This window comes from Homo sapiens, chromosome 4 (genome assembly GCF_000001405.40).
Source record: "Homo sapiens chromosome 4, GRCh38.p14 Primary Assembly".
NCBI lineage: Eukaryota > Metazoa > Chordata > Mammalia > Primates > Hominidae > Homo > Homo sapiens.
In genome coordinates this window covers 38,095,616-38,116,215 of record NC_000004.12, presented here as the reverse complement: position 1 = coordinate 38,116,215, position 20,600 = coordinate 38,095,616, and the positions used below count along the sequence as shown (strand labels likewise).

Genomic DNA, 20,600 nt, shown 5'->3' with positions numbered 1-20,600 from the left:
TAGCTGTGTGACTGGGCCCAATTTATAATCTCTTGGAGACTCAGTTTTCCAATCTACAAATTGAGACGATGAACAGTGTCTTCCTTAGAGGGAAGTGCAGATGAAGCGCTTGGAATAATGCCTAGCACAGAGTCCTTTATCAGCAGTGACAGCTATTACAATGTTACCTGACGGTGAAAAAGCTCCTGAGGCACATCTGGAGAGGGATAAGAAACATTCTTAGCATTTTGTTGTATTAAAGACATAAGGAACACTCTATACCTGTAAAATAATCATGTCTGGCCGATACTGTTTCCGCAGCCCCATGTCAAACATCAGAAACTTGAGCATTTTAAACGCCTCTTCCTCACTCATATGAAGAAGCAAAATGCCTGCTACAAAGCTGAGACCTTGGCAATATCCCACTTCCTGGTCTAGAAGTGAGTAGGCCTTCAAAATGTTGTAAAGCGATAGCTGTCCTGCTCCAAGCTGGGCAGAGAAGTATGGGTGTGTAGGAAAGGTTCGCCCTGTGAAAAGAATACATATTAGTTGTAATAATAAAAACAAAAAAAGAAAGCCTATTGAACCAGAAATCCAATGTGCTTCAGATTAAGCAGCAAAATCTTTAGAAGCTGGATCATAATATCAATCAGTCTTTGCCACTTCCTCTGCAAACGAAGTCCACCAGTTATTCCTGGAATAATGCTTTCAATTAAAAATCAGCAATTACTCATGGTTGTTTTATTTATTTTTTGGTGGAAGTACAGGTGAAAGTAATCAGAACTACCTTCGGTCCTGCAAATAGCTGAACTTCAATCGAAAAAAGAAAACTGTTGGCCAGGTGTGGTGGCTCATGCCTGTAATCCCAGCACTTTCAGAGGCCTAGGTGGAAGGATCGCCTGAGGTCAGGAGTTCGAGACCAGCCTGCCCAACATGGCGAAACCCCATCGCTACTAAGAATAGAAAAAATTAGTCAGGCGTGGTGGCAGGTGCCTGTAATCCCAGCTACTCGGGAGGCTGAGGCAGGAGAATTGCTTGAACCTGGGAGGCAGAGATGGCAGTGAGCTGAGATCATGCCACTGCACTCCAGCCTGGGAGACAAGAGAAAAACTCCAACTCCAAAAAAAAAAAAAAAAAAGAAAAAAGAAAACTGTTAATCCTCTAGACATAACCCCTATTCTCAAGAGGAACACACACAGTTCTTCCTCCCCACTGCTGCACCCTGCACCCACCCCAATCCCAGCATCATCTAAATGCAGCTAAAAGGCCTCGCCTTACTACAAGCACTCTCTGGATCTGCTTTTCCCAGACTACACATATTATGCCTGCAAATGCTTCATACCACATGCATATCTCCGTACTTTCAAACTATAGGCAGTGTTTTGAAACAGCCTGAGGAGCAGCAGGTGTTTTCTTTTCACAAAAGTTACCTTCCAAAAAGAGTTTAAAAGAAAAAAAAAAAAGCTCTCAACATCCTGATTATTTTCACAAAAAACTGTTATTCAAATAGGCTTAAAGGATTTCTTTTGTTCAGGAGGCTTTTGTAGCTGATACTTGTCAAGTTCCTCTTCCTCCTCCTCTGGAATGTGACTGATGGGAGTGCCTGTTTCCAGGGAGCAGAGAAGTACTTGAAACGATTAAGAAACATCTGGAGCCAGGCAGCTGGCAGCCAGGGCCAAGCTTGGGCCCAGGCAAGAATTATGAACCTGCTTGGATCAGCGAAGGCAAAAGGTGGATCTAGGCCACACGTTAATTGTTCACTGCAATTATTCGGTCTCAGCACAGGGAGGAACATATTTTCATGGGCTCTTCCTCAGCTTCCTGAAAAAGAATTTCATCAGTCCAGATGTGTTATCTGAACTTGACTCAAGAGGAAAGCTACGGTCTCCTAACCACTGTCCTGATTTCTCGTTCTGTATTCACTTCTTGCCTCCTCTATCTCTTCCCCCAGTAAATCTCCCCCAGATATACCCTGCACAAGTCACCTTGCTGCTAGTAAGCAATCCATAGCTCCCCAGTGCTCAAAGAACAAATTATCCACTCTGTTAGCCTGGAGCTCCGTGCACTCACCTCCTTACCCACCCTCCCAGCTTTATCTTCCACTCCAGCGCTTAGCCTGGGCACCAGAAGCAGGGGCTCCTGGGGTCTCTGACCCCTCTAGGTTGTGTGCAGGTGTGTGTGTGTGTGTGTGTGTAGAACAATGGGTAGCAGCACATGCAACTGAACTGGAATGTGACCCCCATGCAGGATGTAACAGTTTCTAGCACCCACATTAGAAAATAACAGGTGAAGTTAATTTTAATTAGATATTTTGTTACACCCAACATACACAAAATACTATCACTTCAACATAATCAATATAAAAATACTGAGACATTAGGCATTCTTTTTTCATGCCAAGTCTTTGAAATCCAGTGTGTTCTTTATACTGACAGCACGCCTCAATTTGGAGTAGCCACATCTCAAGTGCTTAACAGCCACATGTGGCTTCTGTACTGGGCAACACCAGTGTACTGGTTTCCTCATAGTCTCAAAAATATTCACAATCTCTTTCATTCCATTACCCTTGCCAGCTCAGCTTCCAAGAAGATGGAGCACTTCCCCACTTCTGCATTTCTGCTGATGCTCCTGTCCCATCCCAAATGGACCCCTCCGTCTGGTATCAAACAGGTGCTGGTAGCAGAATATGCAGGAGTCATGTGGCATAAAGGAACACAGGGAAGGTTTAGTTATTCTGAATTTAATCTGTCAGTGTTATCGTTTTAGCTAATCAGATACCCTCTCATGTTAGCAAACTACCTCACACAGAAACCAGAGCCCATGCTAATTGACACCGCTTGTAGAGTGGCTATTTCTTATTTAAGCCTCACAACATTCCTAAGAGGGTGGGCCTAGCAGGGTGGGGAGTGACCTATGCTAATTGGCCACTCAAGAGTGGTCAGATGGTGGGGGCAGAGCTGGCTTCACGGGTGTGTGTTCTGTGCGGTCACACTGGCTCTGTGCTTAGAAGGACCTTGCACAAGGCTTCATGCTCTGTTGTCTCTGTCTTGAAATTCCTAATAATCTTTCAAGAAAGGGTTCTGCATTTTCATCTTGCAATAGGCCCTGCAAATTATGTACCAATTTAGGGGGAGGCAGCCCCCTAAGCAGCTTCCAGAAATAGCTATAGCCACCTTCCTCCCAGCCTTGCTACCGAGTGGTATGTTATGAGAAGGCAAACCTTGGGCCAAATTTTGCCAAACCAATGACCTTTATCAGCAAGCTGACAGGCAATAGGAACCACATAGAGCTTCTCACAGGCTCTGCACTCAAGCCTCCAACAAGCACTTCTCGAGAAAGGTTCAACCAGAGGAGGGCACCGTGGCAATCTAACGGCAGAGCCAGGCCATCCACAGTCAGGTCACACAGATGGAGTGTGGGGACCCGCTCGACAGGCACTGGCCTCCAGTTCTGCTCCATAGTCCCTGGAGCCAGGGTCTGGACGCCTTTCTAATCAACCACAGCCCTTGAACATCATCCATTTCACTAATAAAAAGTTACATGTAGCGCCCCTTATGCTAAGAACAATTCTCTGATGTGCATTTATTTCAATGGCATTTGAAGTAAGTACAAAATGGCCTCTGGCACGTGAAGCTCAGAATGGACTACCTAGCTTCTCTGAACCTTAGCTTCCTCTTTTTAAAAAGGGACAGAACACATAGTTTGCAGAGTGGAGAGTACACGTACAATGCCTAATGCAAATGGTTGCTATGAATGGTGTTCAATAATGGGCAATAATCTTCGGATAGACCACACACATTATAAAAACCCAGTTTCCAAACAAGAGGACAAAAGGGCACACTTATGACCGTTCTGTAGCACAAATGCAAAATAAATTACATTTAAAGTAAAGGAACAACTTTGCAGAGCCATTACTCTATTAACTATAACACTGCACATAAGCTGGGAAATCTCGCTTTCTGACAGCCTTCCAGAGGCAAAGAAAAGTTTCGTCCAAGCAACTAATTTTCACAAAGTTTGGAACTCACAAGCAGGTAGAACTGAAAGCTGAATTCCAAATAATAATAATCACCACCACCACCTAGATTCAGCAAAACACCTGTACACCCCACACTTTCAAATCTCTTGTTATTACCCAAACTGGTCAAGGCTTCCAGGATGCAGTTTCAGAAACTGTCATTGATTTTCTTTATGCAGAAAATCTGTCCTGCATGAAACTGGCCAAGCTAAAACACATCTTCCAGTGTGTTCTATGAGACTCCCAAATGCAACTTCCTGTCCCACTGCACAGCAAGACAGGCCTCTGGGTTCACTACCAGGCTGGGGAACAGCTGTGAGTCTCTGGCCTTCAGCTCCTGATTAGCGGTTAAGCAGGACAACTGCACCCATCTGACTTTGTAACACAGTCCACGTTTTACACGAAATTCTATTGGGGGAGACACTGTTTTCCTATTTTACATTCTTCCAGGTCAATAGTTCTCAATGTTTGGTCAGCCTGAGGACCCCTGGAGGTCGCTGAGATCCTTTTAGGGGTCCATGAGGCCCTCCCCCTGCTTTTCCTACTATAGATCTGTGCAAGGTCAGCTTTTGCTTTATATGCTTCAAATAACAAGCAAAACAGAATGAATGAAGCAAATAAAATTCAGCGGATTCTATTAAATCAGACATTAAAGAGATTTTTTAAATGTAGAAACAATGTCACATTTCTAACTAATTTTATTTTGGAAAACAGTCATTTTTTAATAATTTTTTATATGTATGAGTTTATTATAGCTATGTAAAAATAAATACGAATCAAATAAATACTAATCTCAGTTTTAATTAATTGGTAATATAGTAAATATTGATAGGAATTATCCATGGAAACAGAAGCTCTTTGGGCTACTCGATAATTTTCAAAGTGAATGGCATCCTTCCATCAAAGTTTGGGAATGGCTGTTCTAGGCTAACACGACAACTCACCCACATTCCTGAGTAAACACCAAGTAAAGAGGGAGAGGCAGGTCACGTGGGTAGAGAGTGGATGAGGGGGATTAAAAGCATTTCCTGGACAATCCACATTCGTATAATCCAGTGTTGAGCACTGTAGCCCTCCAGCTCCCATTTAGGAGGTACTAAGCTAGTGCTGATGGCATTCCACAAAGACCACCCATATGATGCGCACCTGCAGCAGTTGGCCGGAGCCGTGGGCAGAGCACCCCTGAGAACACACTCAGCCCCTCACACCCAACTCAAGGCACCTTAACTATGAGCAAAAGACTGTTTACTGTTTGTTGCATTTGTTCAGTTTGTGAACAGATTCTAGATTGAAGCTCTGCCTCAAGAAGACAGGAGAGAAGGCCACACACCCCATAGGAGAAGCATGCTAGCTCGGGAAGACACCAGCTCAGGGAAAGCTAATTTCTGCCAAACTCGAGGGAAGCTGGGTAAAACTGTGCAATCCTTCCTACAAATCTATCAGGATATGAGGCCTGCCTCTTTAAACTGCATTTTACAACTTACCACAAAGCAGAGAAGTGCAGGTCCTTTACATTTTTCTGTAAAGCAGATTACCTTCACATATAAAATGAGAATGGGACTGTTAAGTGGAGAGGGTCAAACATGGGCATTAAAAAACCCCTTTATAAAAAGACATTCGATGTGTCTTGTGGATCTAAGTGGAGAAATATGCCAGAAAGGCCTACAAGATGATCCACAATTCAAACATATTTCTAAATGACCTAGTAATTCCTCTTCATGAAGTGCTCCACAAAATTTTGCTCATCTAACGGATGTTCTTCCAGGATCAATCTTTTCCTTCTTTATCACTTGGAGGGGGAAGAGCCTTCACCCAGCAATTTTCAGGCAGGAATCCTATTAGGATCATCTGGGGGCTTGTTAAACCTGCACATCCCAGGCATCAGAAACTCAATAAGCAGCAGGTCAAGAATGGTGACCTCAGGGATGTGTTTTTCACAAGCCCCTCAAGAGATCTTGCAGGTGGTCCCTGTACGGTGCTGTGAGAAACCCCATCCCATCTCAAGAGTGTCCTGCCTTCCTCTATTCAGAGCCCATCTGACTGCATTTTCAGCGAGACTCCTGATATCTCGGCTCTGTTTACCATGTGGCAGCTGCTACAAGAGGCCAGAGGTCTCTTGCAGCAAACACGGGGCCACCCACAAAGCTATTCAGTCTCACGGTGGCTCTGCACAGTTGACTAACAAGTTTCTTTCTTTTGCTCTTTTCTCCAGGGAGTGGTACTGGCAAACCAGCAATCTGACACCGACCCTCTATCTCCTCTGCAGAAGAGAAACCCTACAACCTAATGATCTCTAAGATTCCTTCCTGGATGAAGATCTGGGATACTAACATCTTCTCACATTGTTGCATTTAGCTCTGAGCAGAATCTGAAATGAGACACTGAGGATACAAACACCCTTTGTAACCCTCAGAAGTTTAAGTCACTTGGTTATCAGTTGCCCAGTATCAGTCTTCCCACTAGAACGTGTGCTTCCCAGAGTGCAGGGAATCATCCTGAATGGCAGGGTTAGGAGATTAAGGGAGAGTCCTTCTAGGAGCAGATTGTTTTTGGGAAACACTTGAATGAGTCCAGTGGCTGCTCCAGTTGACTCCCACTGGCTCTGTGAGCCCAACTCCATGACCAGTGACATCAAGTGGGTAGTTTAAAATGGGGTGTGGGAGGACTAGTTGCACAATGGAAATCTGCAAACACTGAACACCAAGGGCTTCCTCTGAGGGGTGAGAGGAGCTGGTTATTAAACATTTGCCAGCACCACCGACTGACTTGAAAAAGGCAGGAAGATTCCAGACCTCTGTGAAAGGAAATCATACCCCACTTTATTCTTTCCTTTTATCAACGACATTTAGTTATTTCACTTTGGACTTAAAGGGTATATTCAGAATGACCAAATAAATATGATCCCACGATGTGATCCTGATAAGATCAGAGACAATGGCTCACTCTTCAGAATAATGTGTGTGGCTGGTGGTGCAAGAATTCATTAGGCTCCTCAACTGTGATTGTTCAACTGACCTCCATACAGCAACGTCCCCAACTGGACAGACAGGTGCGTGAGATAACAAGACTGCTGAATGTTACATTCTAGGTCCCTTTCTGTCTTTTGCCATGAAGGTTTCTCATTTCTCACACAGGACTTCAACTCAAAGATGGAAGAGAACACTGTGGTCCCCGCCAGCACCCCTGCTAGTGATGAGCAGCTCCACCTGCCCCTCAAAGTGCACGATGCTGCTCTGTGTGTCCTGGCCGAGCGAGGCAGCCCACCGCCTGGGAGAGGAGAAGGGGAAGCGCTCCCCTCTGCCTGTTTGTACTTGGTCATCTTCAATACTCTCAGCTGATTCCTTCCTTTTGGAGGTTCTCCTACTTCTCATCTTTTATGGATTCTAAAAAATCCAACCGTTCTCCTACTTCTCATCTTTTGTGGATTCTAAATGTTCTCCTACTTCTTACCTTTTATGGATTCTAAAAAATTGGATTATAGTTTCTTTTCTTCTGGACACCAGGCAGGCTTTATACATTTAGTAGAAGCAAACAATCAACATGACAGCTCTGCTGCTGGACCCGTGACCCACACGTGTAGTCTGGACACACGCTTAGCGTCTCGCGGCAGCACAGGCATGCCAAACATGTCTGGTATCCCTGATGGAGGATCTCTAGAAGCCCATCAAAAAATGGCACTTCTGGTCACCAAAAGATCATCAGACTCTTGCAGGGATTATAAACTGTGCCATCCCCTTACTGACCTATAATATGCAGATTAATAAAACTATAGCAATTGATGTGGGGGAGATTAGATGCATTCTTGCTTCTGCTTTCTGATCTAATGGTGCTCCTGGGTTTCTGGGCCTGTTGAAGTGTTCTTTCGGCTGAAGCCCTCCTATCATGGGAGAGGCTGCACGCCTCACTGGGGAATGCAGCTGATGGCTGGAAAGTGTTCTAGGCTGGGATGCTAGGGAGGGAGCAGATGATGTGAAGCCTGAAGGGGGTCCCTCAGGAGTTTCCCAGTGTCACTGGCAGCCCCCAGCGTGGTCAGGACGACAGTGGGAGCCCCAGACAGAAGACAGGATGCTGGGCAGTCCATGTTGTCTACCCAGGATAGAGAGTCAAAGAATAGACATGAAAACAGTGGCAATTGTCTGAGGGCTGGACAAATGGATGCAGATGGGTGGGGCAGGCTCCTGACCCAAGGCTTCAAGAATAATGTGATGAGTACCATCTGCTAAGCTGAGAGCAGTTGCCTCTGGCTGGTGTGATCTACCCCAAAGGAACATGATTCCACCAAAGCAGGGGTGGGGAGAGTTGTGCTGGCATGGAGTGGGCAGAGCCAAGAAACACAGAAGCAACATGGTGCCCTAGAAGGGATGTGGTATGGAGACTGAGGAGACCTGGGTTCCAGAACTCCTTCTGGCACTGAGTAACTCGCAATGTGGGCAGAGAACTCAAGCTCTTAAGGGCTCATTCATCCCCTCTAAGTTGGAAATAACGGCACGTGCCCAATTTCACACAGGATGTGTAAAGATGAAATTTGACAAAGGTTGAGAAAATATTCACAAACTGTAGAACACGACCCAGCCATGAGGCCTATTATTCTTACTCTTTGGAGGAAAACACATTGCCAAAAAAAAAAAAAAAAAAAAAAAACCTGTTTAGACTAAAAGCCAATTTCAGAAAGTATAACAAGAGGCAGGAAAACAAAAACCCATGAAAACTCAAAATATATCCAACCAACCATTCTGTTCTTCTGGCCAGAATATGAAGGTCACTTTTTAAGGAAAACTGAAATATGGATTTGATTTTGCTTTATACTACACACCTTCACTGGGCCTTGAGGTAGCCATGGTGTAGACTAAACAGAAAGTGTAGACTAAACAACTGACTTGGCCACAGCACAGCCTTGGGTGAGAGGAGTGGGGGAGGTAACAGGTGGAGTCTGGAGGAGCTTCTGTGGGAGGCCTCCCTGGGCGGAGTCAGCCGGGCAGGCAGGGCACCTGGGACTCCACTGCCGGGTCTAGGCCAATCCCAGTTTCCCCGTTCCAGTGGGGAGAGGAGACTGACCCCGGGGAGTCCCTGGAAAAAGCCTGGAGAGAGACACAGAGGTGACCTGGGAAATGCATTGCCTCACACGGAGGTCCTCTCAGGCCCTCGGGAAGTGTGTGGACAGCATCCAAACCGGAGGCCAGGCGAGGATGGGAAAGAGTGGGGAAGAGAGAGGGGGGTCAGCACTGTCAGAGAAGGGGGCAGCAGAGGGAGAGGGTGGGGAGAGGCAGGGATGGAGAGGACTTGAATGCAGCCAGCCCTGCCAGTGGACCGGGCTCCCACAGACCTCATGCCAGCTCAAGGAAGGCTGCCTGAGCCCTGCAGGGGAGGCCGTGGTGGGGCTCAGGCACACACAGTGCCTTCGGAGTGCACAGCCACGCCGAGGCCCTTGTTCTGATCTGGTCTCTTCTTTTCCCTCTGCAGAAAAGTGATGACATCTGAGCAACAAGAAGCAGGGGCTGATCGTGTCCGTGGAAGAATGAGGGGATACTGCAGGGGAATGAAGAGAAGAAGGTGACTGAATCCAGGAGGGGAGACACCTTCCCGTTCCTCCTCCCAGCCTTGGAGCAAGTGTGGGGAGCGGGGCTGTCTGCATTCCTCCCTTTCAGCCTCCCACCCTGAACCTATTTCTCACTTTGTTTCACATGATAGGAACATGATGGCATTTCCTGTAACTCACCATGTCAGCAAATGCAGCTACTGCCAATTCACAAAACTGCTTTCCTCAGGTCAGTGGGCCAAATGGGCCCCAGCTCCACCAAGGCATTGCCTTGGCCTGCCACTGCACAGCAACACGGGCCTCCTGCGCTCAGAGGGTCCCAGGGAAACACAGAGTGACAGTGGGTTCAGTTCCTGTCACCTCCCCTCAGGTGACTTTGTGACCATGGTCAACATGTGACCTCAGTTTCTTCATTTCTTAGAGAGGGTGCAGGCCACCTTCCCAGGGCTGTTGTGAGGGCCCATGAGATGGCGGTGCTAGTGCAGTGTCTCACACTCTGAATCTTAAAGATATTCTTTGAGCATCTGCTGTGTCACAGCCACTGTCCTAGAAGCCGAGGGTATAATGGCCAAACAGCCCCAGCCCAGTCCGCAGAGGGCTGTATCCTATAAGGGAAAAAGGCAATAAAGAGCCACTGCTGTATACTAAGGACAGGCGGGGGAGGTGGAGTAAGAAATACAGGTTCTGCTAAGAGCTGAATTACCATTCGACCCTGCAATCCCATTACTGAGTATATACTCAAAACAAAATAAATCATCCTACCAAAAAGACACATGTACTCACACGTTCATCACAGCACTATTCACAATTGCAAAGACATGGAACCAACCCAGGTGCCCAGTAACAGTGAACCGGATAAAGAAAATGTGATATATGGACACCATGCAATACTCTGCAGCCATAGAAAGGGACAAAATCATGTCCTTTGCAGCAACATGGATGCAGCTGCAGGTCATTACCCTAAGCAAACTAATTCAGAAACAGAAACCAAGCATCACATGTTCTCACTTAGAAATGAGAGCTGAACACTGGGTACACATGGACATAAAGATGAGAACAGACACCAGGGACTCCTGGGGGGTGGAGAGGGAGGGAGGAAGGCAAGGGTTGAAAAACTACCTATTGGGTACCATGCTTGGTTCCTGGGTGACAAGTTCAATCACACTCCAATCCTCAGCATCACACAATACACCTTTGTAAGAAACCTGCATACGCAATCCTGGAATCTAAAATAAAAGTTGAAAAAAAAGTGCAGCTTCCGAAGTCACACTGATTAGCGGCAAATCGGCTGTGTCACTTTCAGCAAGTTACGTAACCTGTCTGTTTCTATTTTCTCAACTCTAAAGAGAAACAGAACAACATCTACCTGATCATGTTGTAAGGATTAAAGAAAGGAGTTTAAGTCCCTTTGCACAACATTTGGCCCAAGGTGAAGTTAGGCAGCAGCAGTGATGATAATAAGCAGATAACGGTGATGATGAGAAATGTGATACGCACCATGGGGAGAGTGTGGGGTGCTACAGGGGGCTTAGCAAGACACCTCATCCAGTCTTGAGGTGGGAGAGGAGACCACAGTCAGGGAAAGTTTCTCAGAGATGATGTTCAAGCTAAAGAATAACCTTAAGTGGGGCCGGGTGTGGTGGCTCACGCCTGTAATCCCAGCACTTTGAGAGGCCAAGGCGGGAGGATCACGAGGTCAGGAGATTGAGACCATCCTGGCTAACACGGTGAAACCCCGTCTCTACTAAAAATACAAAAAATTAGCTAGGCATGGTGGCGGGCACCTGTAGTCCCAGCTACTTGGGAGACTGAGGCAGGAGAATGCTGTGAACCCAGGAGACGGAGCTTGCAGTGAGCTGAGATCACACCACTGCACTCTAGCCTGGGCGACAGAGCGAGACACCGTCTCAAAAAAAAAAATTAAAAAAAAAAATAACCTTAAGGGTTATGAAATTAACCTTTAAGGCTAGCTACGTGGCTTGAGAGGAAAGGACTTCATACTGCCTGATGCGGCTCACACTGCATCCTCTGTCGTGGCTGCAGGAACAATCAGAGAACCGGGCCACCGCAGGGCCCCAAAGCACTGTGTGTTCTGTGGAGCCTTCAGCAGCAGCAGCTGCAACCAGAACAGGTATTCTGGAAGCAGGGCCACATGCTCTAAAAGCAGCAGGGCCCATCTCCTACCACATCGAGCCAGCTCACCACCAGTAGAGACAGCAGCTTGGGTGATAGGCGGCAGGCAAACGGGAGTGCATTGCCACCTGGCCCTGTGCATGGCCACTGACAAGTCAGGAGGGCCCTCTGTGCATCATAATCACACCCCAGTTCAACAAGTCCTTCACAGTGGCAACTGCAAATCTATCCAATACAGTCATCCCTTGGCATCCTCGGGGGATAGGTTGCAGGAGTCCCCACAGACACCAAAATCCACGGTGCTCAAGGCCCTTCTATAAGATGGTGCTATGTTTGCACATAACCTACACACATCCTCCCATACACTTTTTTTTTTTTTTTTTTTTTTTTGAGACAGAGTCTCATTCTGTCACCCAGGCTGGAGCGTAGTGGCATGATCTTGGCTCACTGCAAGCTCCGCCTCCTGGGTTCACGCCATTCTCCTGCCTCGGCCTCCTGCGTAGCTGGGACTATAGGCGCCCACCACCATGCCTGGCTAATTTTTTTGTATTTTTAGTAGAGACAGGGTTTCACCGTGTCAGCCAGGATGGTCTCGATCTCCTGACTTCATGATCCACCAGCCTTGGCCTCCCAAAGTGCTGAGATTACAGGCGTGAGCCACTGTGCCCGGCCACATCCTCCCACACACCTTAAATCATCTCTAGATTACCTATAACACCTAATACAATGTAAATTCTACATAGATAGTTACTATATTTTAAAATCTATATTATTGTTTAGTTTTCATTGATTTTTCTTCCCAAATACTTTCCATCTGAGGTTGGTTGAGTCCCCAAATTCAGAACCCATAGATATGGAGGGCTGACTGTATATTGTTCCCATCTTCTTATTTTAAAAACTATTCAAGAGACAAGGTGCCACCCAGTTTCCAAAATAAAATCATTCAAGGCACACACACAAACTGCTTTCTACAATTTTTCTGATGAATTCTGTTTGTGAGCAGTAAAAATGAGGGAGTGGCTCCTGTAATTAAACCAAGCCTCGGTTCTGAACATCTATACGTTTTCCAGGATGTTCCTTCGGTTGACTGTAAAAACCTCCTATCAATATTTGAGTTACTGGACTGAACCACAATTATGACTGCAGCCTTAATGAACACCCTCCCTCCATGCCAAGCAAAGTTAACAAGCTCCCCAGTGAAAATACAGAGATTTTTATATGCTTGAAGATGACATTTGTGATTACCCTAGGGCTTTTTAAATTAAAAGTCTCAGTAGTAAATTTTGATTGCTAAACCTAAAGGCAGGTCAATACATAACTTGGACAGTCTCTTCAGATTTTTCATGTGAGTGAAACTTCCATTGTCATCTCCAATCGATGGCACAGACTTACCAAGGTCAATAAGAATCGCATGCTGCTGGGAAGTCAGCTGCTTTAAGAGTTCTTTGTATGGCACATCCTTTGGCTGCTGTTTGCTGGGAAACTGGTGTTTAAGGTGGAATTGCTCAGCTAGAAATTTCCAGATTTCACCTCGGTGATGACGTGGCACACCTTTAAAAGGGAGAGAAGACATGGAAATAATTTATGCACAGAATACAACTTAATAATAAAAATGAATTGTGTTTCATGTTCCATTTATCCAAATTCTTGTTCCTTTTTTTTTTTTTTTGAGACAGAGTCTGGCTTTGTCACCCGAGCTGCAGTGCAGAGGCACAATCACATCTCACTGCAGCCTCAACCTTGTGGGCTCCAATGATCCTCCCACCTCGGCCTCCCAAGTAGCTGAAATTATAGGTGCCCACCACCATGCCTGGCTAATTTTTTTTTTATTTTTGTAGAGACAGGGTCTCACTATGCTGTCCAGGCTTGTCTCAAACTCCTGGGCTCAAGCGATACTCCTGCCTCAGCCTCCAAAGTCCTGGGATTACAGGGATGAGCCATCATGCCTGGCCACTGGTTCCATTATTAATTAACAGCATAAGAACAGAAGGGAGGCAACTAAAACCTTGCCCTATTTGCTTCTTCCCCTACTTCCACCCCCTATTCTCCCCTCACTTCCCTGGCCCCTTCCTCCCTTCTTCTCACTTCTCAAATGTGTTATCATGTTCTGACCCTGTCAGACTCTGCAAGGAATAAAGAATACGACCTGAGCTCCAACCTGGTGCCAATTAACAACATTCTAGGGAAATAAAGCCAAGTATGAAAAATTGTCATGTAAGATGTGATCTCAGAAAGCAGAGAGAATCAAAAGGAAGTAGAGCTCAGATGAAAGAGAAGCTGGCTCATTTCTTTTTATTATTATTATTATTATACTTTAAATTTTAGGGTACATGTGCACAACGTGCAGGTTTGTTACATATGTATAAGTGTGCCATGTTGGTGTGCTGCACCCATTAACTCGTCATTTAACATTAGGTATATCTCCTAATGCTATCCCTCCCCCCTCCCCCCACCCCACGATAGGCCCCAGTGTTTGATGTTCCCCTTCCTGTGTCCAAGTGTTCTCATTGTTCAATTCCCACCTATGAGTGAGAACATGCGATGTTTGGTTTTCTGTCCTTGCGACAGTTTGCTCATTTCTAACTGAGCAATCAAGGTTCCACAGAATCCTTCATTTGAGTCGAGCCTTAAGGATGAGGGAAAAGGAAGAGAAAAGTACAAGAGAGAGGGAACCGAGAGTGATTCAGTTTGCCTCAGGCACAAGGGTGCATGTGGAAGAGAGCAGCTGGCAAGAAGGCTGGAAGGGTTATTGTGAGAGGCAAAATTGACGGCAAGAAACCTGCCCCACGTTTGGTAGCTCCAGGGAATCATGCATGTTTCTGAGCTGAGGTGGAGTAAGCTAATCATAGCTGAGATTCTGGAATTCTGATGAGGCTTCTTTCTGCAAGATAAGCTGCAAGAAGAGCCCAGAGGCTGGGTAGGAACTGACTGCACAGACATTGCCATGTGAGCATCCAACAAAGCTCTAAAAACAGAAAATGTCCAAGAGCCTCTAACTAATGCTTTGCATGTGATTAATTTGAATACTCACAGTGATTAAAAATGTCTAAAACTTAAGAAAATTCTCTTAAAGTCAAGGATGTTATTTAGGGCAAACCTAATTTTAAAAGGTGACAGTTTTGAACCAAAATTCTTTAGCTCATTACTCAGCTATTACAAGGCCAAAAAGGTGGAAAGGGGGAGAGCAAGAAGACTGAAGAATAAGATGCCAAGTCTTTCTTGTCTTTTGGGAGAAAGGAAGCCTCCAAGTTAGGCATTGATCTTTCTTTCCATCCGGGAAAAAAAGTGGCCGCTTTGTACCCTGCCCTGCCACTCAGACAGCCTGTCCAGAAGGATGGTTTCTCTGGTTTCTGTCTCTGGCCACCTTTGGGAAAAGTTTCTGCTCTGGCAGGTAGCAGCAGCAGATAGCACTGATTGCGAGGCCACTATGCACCATCGCCATTCCATGCACGTTATGTGTATTGGCCCATACCATACTCATAACCCTCTAAGGGAAACATGATTATCCTCATGGTAAAGAAAAGAGAGGCAGTGAGAACAGGTCCCTTGCCCTAGGTCATTAGGCCGGTGAGTGACAGCCCAGGGATGCTGACTGCCATTTTCTCTTGGTGTCCTCCATGTCAGAAATGTCAAACAAGGCTGCTACTCAAATGGGGACTAGAGAAAAAATATTTTGTGTTCCTATCTTGCAATTAATGATAAAATAACCATCTGTGGATTTGAACCAAATAGTAATCATTTTATTAACAGATTCAAAAGTCTCACTGGGCCACCTCTTGGAAATACTTACTGTGTAGTAAGTACTTTCTTCTTTCCCTTTCACGTATCATTTTTTTTAAGTTGGCCTGTAGAAGAAATACAGGGCCCCTGTAAACCATGACCACATCCTATACCTTCTGTAATTTTATCTCAGCATTAATATAATGACCCTGTAGAGTGAGTTGAATGGTGTCCCCTCAAAAGAGATGTGTTCACTTCCTAATCCCTGGAGCTTGTGAATGTTACCTTCTTTGCAGATATAATTAAGTAAGGACTTTGGGAGGAGGAGAGCATCCTGGATTATCCAGATGGGCCCTATATCCAGTGACAAGCATTCTTATAATAGACATACAGAGGAGGAGATGAGAAGGGGAATCAATGTGACCAAGGAGGCAGAGGCTGGAGTGCCGTGACCACAAGTCTAGGAAGCTGACAGACACCAGAAGCTGGAAGAGGCCAAGTACAGACAAGCTAACGGCATGGTTTTGGAGCTATGGCCTCCAGAACACTGAGAGAAGAATTTCTGTTGCTTTAGTCACTATTTTTGTAGTAACTTGTTATGGTAGCAACAGGAAGCAAATATACCCTGATCTCTGCTTTCTACTATTATTCTATTTCTTGTCTCCCTCTGCTATTCCAGCTCATAGATATATCCTGGGTACATACACACACACGCACACCCTCCCCACAAATACTTCAAATGCTGATGAGAAGTAAATGTGGGCTAGAAAACAGTCAGCATGATAAGTGATTTATAGTGGGGCTTTTTTTCACAAAATACTTTTTCTCAAACTGGGAAATTTTCCCAAGTTATGAAATGTCCAATTTCCTATTACTAAATCATTCCCATTGTCTTATCAGACCTTTATTTTTTGAAAGAAAAGAATATTGGCTGTGTCACTGGACAGTACCAGATATTGTGGTATTCAGGAGTAAGCTTAGATTCTGTGATTTAAAGCACAGGATCATGCAGGTTGGACCCAATGTTTTTGCTAAGAATGGCCTGGAATGCCCTTCCCCACCATGGTGCTGCCTTCACTCCTAACCCAAGAGAAACCTGGCAGTGGAGCCCACCTACGGCTTGCAGGCAGGGTCTGGGAGGGCAGGAGGCCATTCCTCCATCCCCCATGTAAATAGCTTCTTACTCACTTAAAAAATAATATACACTCACTGTTTAAAAGTGGTGCAAAAAAACCTCTGAAATGCAAGAGGTATAAAGAAGAAAGTGAAAAACCACCCATAACTAGAATAAGCATATATTTACCATCCAAAGCAGGAAGCTTTTGACAGTGAAGAGGAGGAAGGCTATTAATAATTTTGCCAGGACAGGAGTCATAAACCAGGGCTATGCCAGGTTGGGCCCTATGGTCATCCTGTCTATAACCTGGACATCTGCATCGTGGGTGTTTTTCCATGTATACGCACATGGAAATATCAACAGTACAGGAGACCATGCTGTACTCTTTTCATTTAACAACTTAGACATCTTTTACGTCAGTAAATACAGATCTACTTATGGTGTCATTTTCAAGGAATATGACATGGGATAGTCACATGTTGGGTTTTTTGTTTTGTTTTGACTATTAAACAATGTCACAATAAGCATTCTTACTGCAGTACATTTTTGGCTGATTAGTTTCTAGAGTAAGTTTTTATAAATGGCATTGCCGGGTCAAAGGCAAGCAGAGTTTGCATCTGGCCCCTACTGTCAGCAGCCCAGGCAGCCCCTCTGCAATCCCATTCCTAAAAAAGACATTCCAGCTTATAAGGTTCTATCTAGATATCTTTAGAGAAATCATTTTGATGTGTACTAAACTGAATTATCTATAATGTCATAGGATTATGTTATCTTCTCCTAAATTGATACCCTAATCCTGGCCCCTCATCTAATTTTAACTGGGAAAATTTTATAAATTCCTTTATTTCCATCACTTCAGGGTCTTTTATGTCACTATGAGGAAGGGCCTCTTAATCCACACAACTGTCCTCTCTTACAAGGTCTCTGAGGTGAGTTGGCCTCTACTTCAAAGGTCAAAGATATGATTCAAATTTAGGCTCAAATTTTTTGATTCACATTTTTATTCTGAACCACAAAATAGACCGCCCTCATTTGTTTGGAGTTGTTAAATCTTAATGTGTTAAAACCACCTGACTGACAAAGCCCCCTTTATGGTTAGAGCTTCTGCAGTAAAAAGTGATGTGGCAAAGTCAGGCAACACATAAGGAAATTCCAGGTCAGCCTTAGCTCACTCCAGTATACAGAATGCTCAATCATCTGTGCCCAACTTTCACTACCCAGGGTCCAGATTCCTAGAGTATTTCTATTAGCCCCCACAAAATATGCCCAGTGAAAAACAAATATCCAGGTGCCAGGCTTCTAAGAAGCTCAAATATTTGGAATAGCTGTCACAGACCCATGCAATTTGCCTTTCGCAGAAGCAAAGACACCTGAAGGTGATCATCTAGGCAACTGTGAATGGGGGAAGAACAGACTCATTCTTTTCTCTGCTTTCTCCCTTTTCAAAACAGCAATTTGGGGTCATTTGGTGTAAAGGTAAACCTCAAGAAAAAGTACAGGTGCAAGGAATATTAGAACTCCAAGACAGCTCCAAGATCCTCTGCTCAGTGCAAGTCTCTCCTTCTATCAGTAAGGGGGCAAGAGCCCAGAAAGAGGGTACCTGCTAAAGTCACACTGAAAGCTGGTGTCCATCCAGAACTTCGGTCTTCACCACTGCATACGTGTTCTGAGATAAGCACCTGGAGATCCTGTTCAACAGGAGGCAGTGCAGTACGGTGGTGTGAACCCAGCTCTGTGGCCCTAAGCCACTATTCAACTGCTCTAAGCCCAAGTTTCCTTATCCATAGAAAGGGAAAATGCGTAACAAACAATAACTTCCCATGATTACTAAAATTGATGTCAAAATTCAGAAAAGGTTAAAAATGCCTAAAAAACTATAGTAAAAAACACTGCTTTGTTCCATTTATGCTCCTAGAGATGAAAAATGCATATGCAGGCCGGGTGCAGTGGCTCACATCTGTAATCCCAGCACTTTGGGAGGCCGAGGCAGGCAGATCACCTGAGGTCCAGAGTTCAAGACCAGCCTTGCCAACACAGTGAAAACCCGTCTCTAGTAAAAACACAAAAAATTGGCCGGGCACGGTGGCTCACACCTGTAATCCCAGCACTTTGGGAGGCCAAGGTGGGTGGATCATGAGGTCAGGAGATCGAGACCATCCTGGCTAACATAGTGAAACCCCATCTCTACTAAAAATACAAAAAAAATTTACCCGGGCATGGTGGCGGGCACCTGTAGTCCCAGCTACTCAGGAGGCTGAGGCAGGAGAATGGTGTGAACCCGGGAGGCAGAGCTTGCAGTGAGCTGAGATCACGCCACTGCATTCCAGCCTGGGCGACAGAGCAAGACTCTGTCTTAAAAAAAAAAAAAAAAACCCACAAAAAATTAGCCAGGCATGGTGCCGGGCGCCTGTAATCCCAGCTAGTCAGGAGGCTGAGGCAGGAGAATAGCTTAAACCTGGGAGGCAGGGGTTGCAGTGAGCTGAGATCGCGCCATTGCACTCCAGCCTGGGCAACAAGAGTGAAACTACATCTCAAAAAAGAAAAAGTGCATATACAACGTTTTCCCACTGCACAACTGATAAACTCAGGAAAAACCCATTCTATACATACTTGAAACCCTTATTCAGAACACCTGGTTATTCATGATGAGCTCAACCAGAACTCAGTAGCATAGAATCAGATTAGACTCAGGCTTTTACTCTTGCCAGAAGACATTAACATATATTTTTAAAGAAATCATTGTTTGACTAGAACACTAATAATGACTGAAGGTAAGCTTCAAAATAGCGGTTCTCAAACTATCTGTGAAGCATCAATTTTTTTTCTTTTTAAAAATTTTCCAATCTACTACAGGCTGATATTTTTATACGATACAGTAAAAATAAATTAGTAGAAAAACAAAATTTAAAAAAAAACAGATGGACAAAATATAAGTCCACATTTTTAATTAGGATCACTGTGTCACATTGCTGGAAACATTTCCAAAAGCTTAGTTTCAAGTTCTGTACTTATCTCTTCTTGGACCAGTAACAGTTTGGGCTGGCAGATCTCACTGAAAAAACAGTGAATCCTGCCCGCTCTCTAAGGCCTTACAGTATAGCAGACACATGCTGTGTGCTCCTCACAACATCCACTGTCAGCACCCACATCTTACACTTGTAGAAACTGGAGCTCAGAGAGGGTGAGGCATTTGTCTAAGATCACACTGCAAAGTAAGTGGCAGGCCTGAGATTTAAGCCCAAGACCACCTGTCTGAAGTCTGTGCTCCCCACACTATGTTGTCTCCCTAGAGTACCCAGAGACAAGCCATACAATTAGTTTCTAGTTTATAATTTAATTCAAAGTATATCATCAAATCATTATCTAGTTTATAGGCAACAAAACCCTTGGGTTTTTCTGTCTTCTTCCTATTTCCCGGCCTTCTGGGAATTTTAATTAAGAGGAATCATGAAAGGTGGTGAAACTCATGTCTATTAAGTAAGGTATATGGAAATAGATTAAGATGTGATGAAAAGAAGGGAGATGGCCACTAAAATTAGACTTGACTTTTTTTTAATTCCACACTTCTCCCCAATCACCAATGAGGGGTGAGGTTGACTAGATGCTTCCCAATGAAGCTTACCTTGCCCAACAGCCGAGTGCATTTTTTCCATGTCAAACTTAATTTTTGATCTTCCTGGAGTGCTAAGCATCTTTTCCCACACTGTAGTTACTTCTTTAAGACAGGGAGTAATTTCTTCATAATCGAGCTTCAGGCGCTTGTTCAGCAAATCATTTTCAGAGGCTGGAATAGACCATTCCAGAGCGCATTAGTAAAGGCTACAGCTATGGAATTTCCATTACACAACATGGCTGCCTACTTGTTATCCCGCTGAGACGTCAAGCAGTTACAACTGGCTTAACGCGTCTAAATATAAGTCACTGTCCATGCCTCTACCCATTTTCCTCATTTTGGAAAATGCTAAAAACCTAGGAGGTATGTGATTTCTCTTACCCCTTCACCCCCAACATACTCTGTTGGCTCTACTGCTAAGACATAATCCACATCTGCCCAATTCTTTCCATCTTACCCCTATCAAACTATGAGCCTCCCCAGG

The 20,600-nt window shown here is 44.8% G+C and overlaps 1 protein-coding gene across 30 annotated transcripts in view, besides 1 other annotated feature; it reads right to left on the bottom strand.

Annotated features, from left to right (window-relative positions):
• The window catches only part of TBC1D1 (TBC1 domain family member 1), a 248,090-nt gene that overhangs the window by 22,958 nt on the left and 204,532 nt on the right, over positions 1-20,600 (bottom strand). For 27 of the 30 annotated variants that reach the window (XM_011513659.3, XM_011513660.4, XM_011513662.4 and 24 more), the window contains 3 exons: positions 20,126-20,287; positions 13,059-13,217; positions 262-506 (listed from right to left, as the gene is read on the bottom strand). In XM_011513659.3, the coding sequence (XP_011511961.1) occupies positions 262-506; positions 13,059-13,217; positions 20,126-20,287 (566 nt within the window). Of the gene's footprint in view, positions 1-261; positions 507-4,114; positions 4,315-5,481; positions 6,036-13,058; positions 13,218-18,103; positions 18,207-20,125; positions 20,288-20,600 lie in introns of those variants that run through there. The other 3 variants (XM_047449898.1, NM_001253913.2, NM_001253914.2) reach the window with 3 other exon arrangements.
• Positions 9,419-10,094: an enhancer, noted in NCBI's record as "H3K27ac-H3K4me1 hESC enhancer chr4:38107743-38108418 (GRCh37/hg19 assembly coordinates)". NCBI's record gives its function as "activates a minimal SCP1, AML or CMV promoter by ChIP-STARR-seq in naive H9 embryonic stem cells {active_cell/tissue: H9 hESC(naive)}" and the evidence as "EXISTENCE:reporter gene assay evidence [ECO:0000049][PMID:30033119]".